Raw genomic sequence first — 7,091 nt, forward strand, 5'->3', positions numbered from 1 at the left:
GGGTTCAAGCGATTCTCCTGCCTCAGCCTCCTGAGTAGCTGGGATTACAGGCTCGCACCACCATGTCCAGCTAATTTTTGTATTTTTAGTAGAGATGGAGTTTCACCATGTTGGTCAGGCTGGTCTCGAACTCCTGACCTTGTGATCTGCCCACCTCGGCCTCCCAAAGTGCTGGGATTACAAGCATGAGCCACCGCGCCTGGCCTAATTTTGTTCTATTTTTAAATGGATTTAATACCCCATCAGTTTTTGTTTTAATTTTTATCAGTTTTCCAAGTCAGGGTTCTTCATTTCTTTAAACATCACTTAATTGTCTGTTTTGTTTTATTGAATGTTTTGCTTAAGAATTCTTCACTGGAACCTATAATCCTTTACTTTTTTCATATATGCGGTATTTGCATTTTCTCCTATTTACCTAAATGGCAATTTGGCTGGGTTAATGTTAGACCCAAGAATAGAATTCTGTAGCCATTGCTTCATTGTCTTCTGGATTTTCTTTCCTCCTTGGTAACTTACTTTTTCTGCCTAAACATCTAAAGCAATTCCTTCAAAGTTTTTTTTTTGTAGTTTGATCATTTAATAGTAATTTATTTTTTAAAAATGTTCAGATAGGAATAATTTTGCATTATTACTTCTTAGTATATAAAATTCCCTCTCAATTTTTTTCTTCATTTCAGGAAAATTTTTGTCATTGTGGTATATCTTTACATCATAGTAGCTCTTTCCTTCAGGGATACCAATTGCCTTTATGTTATATTATCTTTACTTTTTCATAACTATCATCTCTTCCAATTGCTTTAATCTCTGATCCGTGACCATTTCAGTGTATCCCCCATGCCATAAATACAGTTTTTGTCCATGTCTATTTCCTTCCTTGTTCTTATTATTATTTACAAAGTCTATTGTGCTATTATTTCAGTTCATAATCTGTTTCATTAATTCTATAACTTTCATCTCATTCTTTTGCCTCATCCCATTTTGGGGCTCATAGTTTTACAAGTTATTTTCTATAATGAAGAACTGAGTGGGAGTTTCCAGGCCAAGACAAGTACAGAAGCAGGAACACAGCTTTTCTCTTCCATGTTTCCTAAAAATGAACAAAAATTATTTTTAAAAGGCCAAAACTATGTGTGTGTATATGTATGTGTGTACGTGTGTGTGTGTGTCTTCATGAACATGAATTGTTACATCTTTGAAATGGTTTACTTATGGTCCTGGAGATCAAGAGGATAGACTTCAAAACTTTTAAATGTCTATTCTATGATTAAGTAATTAAAATAATTTAGTAAAAGCATTGTGTTATCTGAATTTTATAGTTGTGTGTGTGTCCACATAAAAAACCCACATTTCTAAAAGGAAATATTGCAGCCCAATACAATCTTTTAATCTAGTTCAATTAGGTCACATCAATTCCATTGAAGTCAAATTGGATCAGTTCAATTTAACTGGATAAAACTACTTGCTCTAATCTTGGTTCACTTTCACATTAGGGTGAAAAAGAAAAACTCCAGCTCCAGATAATACCTTTCCGCTGTCAATATTTTCTCTAGCTACCCTCCCATTCCTCCACTTACTCACTTGACTAGCTTTTTCCAGCCCTCATCTCCTGCATCTTTGATCTGTAGGCTTTGTGACCCAGCTTCTGTCATCTGCTTTAGGTCTCTTTTTGTTTTGACAATCTATTTGGACCAGTTTCTGTGTTTTACCAATTTTAGTCCATTTCACTAATCTGTTGACTTTTTAGATCCATTAAATTTTGATAACACTGCAACTGAAAATAAGAAACACTTTATTCAGCTAAAGACTCGTTCTAAAATATTCACCACACTGCCAGAGGTAGTCTGTACAAATGTGTAGCTTGGCCTCCTTACAAGTATATAAGGCACTATGTTGGGGTAAGGCATAAAATTGTAGAGAAAGACCATGTGTACTGTGCACTAAGAAGACAGTGATGCTTCAACCTGTTCCCTACTGTATATCTCAGTCCTTGATACTTTGCTCTTAATATTGAGACCCAGAGCTTCCACTAACTGGATAGAGCCAGAAAGACTAGCCCAAGTAGAATTCCTTTTATGTGTGGTAATGTAATTTTTAAAGAACACATTGGGTGAGGCAGGCACATACTGAGGACCAGCAACAGTCCAAAGTGTCTCAAAATAAATTACTTTCCAAATAGTCCAAAGAGATAGATAAGGCAGAGAGACTCTATATGGCTGGTAAAAAGTTGGCATCAAAGGCAGATGATTGACTTGAACTGCAGTTCGTTGTATTTTTATGCTTTGATTGACAGTCTTCTGTTATTTTTGGTGAGGCAGAAAACTCAAATTTTGCCTTTGGTATTTTTTTCTTCACTTTGTTATTTTTTCAAGCTGTGGTAATGCAGTATTTTTCAAAACTGAGAAAAAGCATTAAGTCATCTTCTCTATTGCTCTGGCCAAAGCATTATTTTCTGTGATGTGTATTCTAAGACATTTATGAACTAAGTTAACCTTAAGTTATGGTGGTTCCCTTGTTATTGTCTTTGAGACATGACTCCCAAATTTAGTTATTATTATTAGATATTTTTTCTGATTCTGGTCATCCTTGATTAATTTCCAAAATTTTTGTTTCTATCCCTGAATCACATCTATCTCTATTATGCTGTGATCTTAATGTGAAGTTATGCTCTTAATGTTAAGAAAGGCCTTTAAGCATTTCAATCACTTATCATTGCTGAGATTAGAGACATGTGCATATAAAGGAATGCGACATTATAATATTTGACTGAGCACTCACCAATCCCTAAAATGTGACATCAGTTTAAAGTAATTATTACCTTCAATGGTAAAGAAACCATTAAAAGATAGCTTGGTGGAGAGTGTATTAGGACAGTTCCAAATCTTTATCATGGTGAGGAGAGCAGGTCATCAGCTATTAGGCTTAGCATTTACAAGGTCTTCATTGAATTCTTTGGGGGTTCTACAGGGTCTTTTCATTCTTTCTGTCAAACCTTGAATGTTTTCCACACCTGTGTGACCTCTGGTAGTTGCTCAGTTCAAAACTTCTTGATAATTGTTCTTCCCCAAGTAGTTGTATTCTGCCAGGCCTTGCAGAGTTTTGCCCTGAGCATTTGCAGCTTTTGATTCAGTCAAATTTTCAATACAAATTTCTGGAGCACATAAGGGAAGATATCCACTTTGTCACTCTGTTCAGCACTGCATTGGCAACCCTAGCCAATGAAATAAGACTAGAAAAACAAATAAAAGACGTACGTATTGGAAAGGAATAAATAAAAGACTTTATTCTCAGATGACATAATCGTGTGCATAAAAAATCCTAAGCAAGGCCGGGCACGGTGGCTCACGCCTGTAATCCCAGCACTTTGGGAGGCTGAGACAGGTGGATCATGAGGTCAGGAGATCAAGACCATCCTGGCTAACACGGTGAAACCCCGTCTCTACTAAAAATACAAAAAATTAGCCGGGCGTGGTGGTGGGTGCTTGTAGTCCCAGCTACTCGGGAGGCTGAGGCAGGAGAATGGCATGAAACAAAATCAATATATAAAATATATATATATATAAAATATATATAAAAAATATTTCCAGATACTGACAATAACATTTGGAAAATAATTTTAAAAATAACATTTATAACAGCTCCCAAACATTTAAGATACTAGAGCCAAGTTTAGTGATAGAGATGCAAGATATGTACATGAAAATTACAAACACTACTAAGAGAAATTGAAGACATAAATAAATGGAGAGATGCATCATGTTCATCAATTAAAAGATTCAATATTGTTGTAATGTTAATCCTTTTGAAATTAATCTATGAATTCAAAGCAATACCAACCAAAGTCCTCAAACATTTAAGAATTAAATTGTCACACTGTTTATAAAACCTATATGAATCCAATGGAAAAAGTAAATAGATCAAAAAACAAAAGAGTTCAGAAATAAGCCTATATCTTTACTGATTTCTTTCTTTTATTTATTGTTATTTTTTACTAAAGTTCTAAAGCAATTTAATGGGAAAAAAAAGACTTTTCAACAAATAGTGTTGGATCAACTGGCTACCTATATGAAAATAAATGAACCTCAACCTATAGCTCATGAGACATGCAAACAATTATTTTGAGATGTATCACAGACCTAAACATAATAGCCAAACTATACAGCTTGTTGAAGAAAACAAAGGAAAACATCATCTTGAAATGGTTATAAGCAGTAATTTCCTACACATTAACTATAAAAGAAAAAAAGTGTCAAATAGACTTCATCAAAATTAAAAACTTTGAAAGATTCTGTTAAGAAAGTAAAAAGACGAACCATAGACTGGGAGAAAAAAATATATAAATAATATACATACATAATATATATTATATATTTATATATATCATTATGTAGTATATTATATACTATATAATATATAAATATGTGTAATTATACATTAAAATGTTTATTTTATGTATATAAATTTATACATATTATATATAATATATATAAAACTAATATATATATCAAAACAATCTTAAGAAAAACGAACACACACTATTAGATTGCAAACTTAACATAAAGTTATGATAATCAAGAGAGTGTAATATTAGATTTATAGATATTAAATATGTGATATTTAATAATGGACAAGAATTAAAATCTTATAAAGTTATTGCACAGATTAAATGACACAATGCATGCAAGGTGCCAAGATTGCTGGGTTCATAGTGTATGCTCCATAAGCACGAAGCATCCTTGTACCACTTCTTTTCTCCCTGTTTTTGTTTACTAAATTAGAAAAAATTCAACTCACAATTACAGATTGTTGGGAACAGATGAGTCTGTTGACTCTGTCAGATTCATATTCAACTTGGACCCAGGAACTCTTAAGATTTCTCACTGAAGAATTCAATACTGTGACAGTTCCCAAGTTGACTAGTTTCTCTCACTTGAAGTATGGAAGAAAAAATACCTCAACTTCAGATATTAGGGCAAATGGTTTTCTTTCTTTTTTTTTTTTGGGGGGGCGGGGACGGAGTCTCGCTCTGTCGCCCAGGCTGGAGTGCAGTGGCGCGATCTCGGCTCACTGCAAGCTCTGCCTCCCGGGTTCACGCCATTCTCCCGCCTCAGCCTCCCGAATAGCTGGGACTACAGGTGCCCGCCACCACACCCGGCTAATTTTTTGTATTTTTAGTAGAGACTGGGTTTCACCGTGTTAGCCAGGATGGTCTGGATCTCCTGACCTCGTGATCCACCCGCCTCGGCTTCCCAAAGTGCTGGGATTACAGGCGTGAGGCGCCGCGCCCAGCCAAAGGCAAATGGTTTTCTAATCCAGCCTTTAAAAAAGTTTTGACTGTGGAAAGCATTTCCTAGTTCTCTCTTGCATGTGTTGTTTTGTTTCGCTTTGCTTTGCTTTCCTTTGTTTTGTTTTGATGAGTATTACTCAATACTCATCAATAATACATACTTCCTCATCAATAACACACTATCCATTTCTTTGTCCAATAAGAAAAGGAAATTCTCAAATTGAAGGGAAAAGTAAAGATCTCTGTGATATCAGTTCAGTCTTCTTTTTTAAAATCCTGATATCCTATTCTCAGTAATAAAAATGGTAATATTTTGGCCCCAAACTAACAGGCCACTCTATATAAATGCTGCATATGTTGTTGAAATATATTGCCTAAGCAAGTCACTGGAAATTATATAATTGGTCAAATGAAATTTCCAGCATCAATAGGAAAGTTTTAATATAATTCCTCATTTCAAAATCTCACATTGCCAGTGTTGACTTAACAGCCAGGGAACTTCAGTGCGTAAGAGCAGGGTTGTACAGTTGCTTCCATTTCCTTACACAGAATGTTAAAAAGACATATCAGTCACTGTCATTTAATCATATTTGCACTGTTTATTTCAATATTTCAATCAAGATCAAGTGACATTTTGCTAACCATTAAATACTCTGGGAAAATATAATAACCATAAAGATAAGGAGAAATAGCGTTCTCTAGCAAGTTTCAGTAAAGTTACTGCAGTTTAGCTAATCATTTTGTGAGTTTCATGAATAATCAAGGCTTTAGTGTCTGCCTAAATAGTTTAGAATTTAGAAATAGAGATTTTAAAGAAGGAAAGATCTATGATAGACTCCTTCATTAACCACTAACCTCTGAGATTTCTCTGTTATATGCTCTCATAGCACCATAATGTATGAAAGCTGTATAAATGTAATAAATGTGGGATGTAAATGATGTGTGAATAACATGTAACAGTATTTATGTGGTATTTGTGTATTTATTATTTCTCTTTCCCACTGAACTGGGAGCTCAGAGAGGGCAAGCACTATTTGGTTTCGTGTTCTATAGCCACTGATTAGCAGAGTGCCTTGCACATACTGAGGTTTCAATACACATTTCTTGAACATGTAAATAAGTAAAACAGTTCAAATTAGAATAGAAATATAAGATAAAAATTAATATGAAAATTAAGCTAACCATCTTTCATATAATTGCTAATGAGCTATTAAAAGATTGGCATATAAATTACAGCATTTCAATGTTCTCTTTAACTTATTATTTACCTTTTCCAAAGTTGAACAGATACATTTTATTTTGGCTTATTTAGACTGTACATTGCTTCAATCACATAGGTAACAATAAGTAGAAAGATGTATTATCTCTATTTTGAGCTAAATTGTCCATAAAGATTTTTCTTGAATCAGAATCTTAGCTAACAAATGAAGAAGGAAATCACATAATTAGAAATCACCATTTTTCAAACTATAATAAAATACTGGAGGTAAACAGTGATCATCAATACATACTAAAATAATTAGATGAAAAATTGATGGAGAACATTATAGTAGATGGCTCAGGCTGATAGTACCTGAACCCACTGATCTTAATATCACAAAAAATAGTAACAATTTGACATTTTGTGAGTACTAGTGTGATGTATTAGAACATTCACAACATTATCTGTGAAGTATTTTTGCCAAAATACATCTTATAAAGCCTCTAGATCAAATTTCTGGTTTATAGACGCTACAGGGCATAGAGGAACATGTTAGTGACACTGCAGAATGCAATAACAAAGTCCAGACTATGGGAAATTCTAAAG

Source organism: Homo sapiens, chromosome 1, assembly GCF_000001405.40.
Source record: "Homo sapiens chromosome 1, GRCh38.p14 Primary Assembly".
In the NCBI taxonomy this organism is placed as follows: domain Eukaryota; kingdom Metazoa; phylum Chordata; class Mammalia; order Primates; family Hominidae; genus Homo; species Homo sapiens.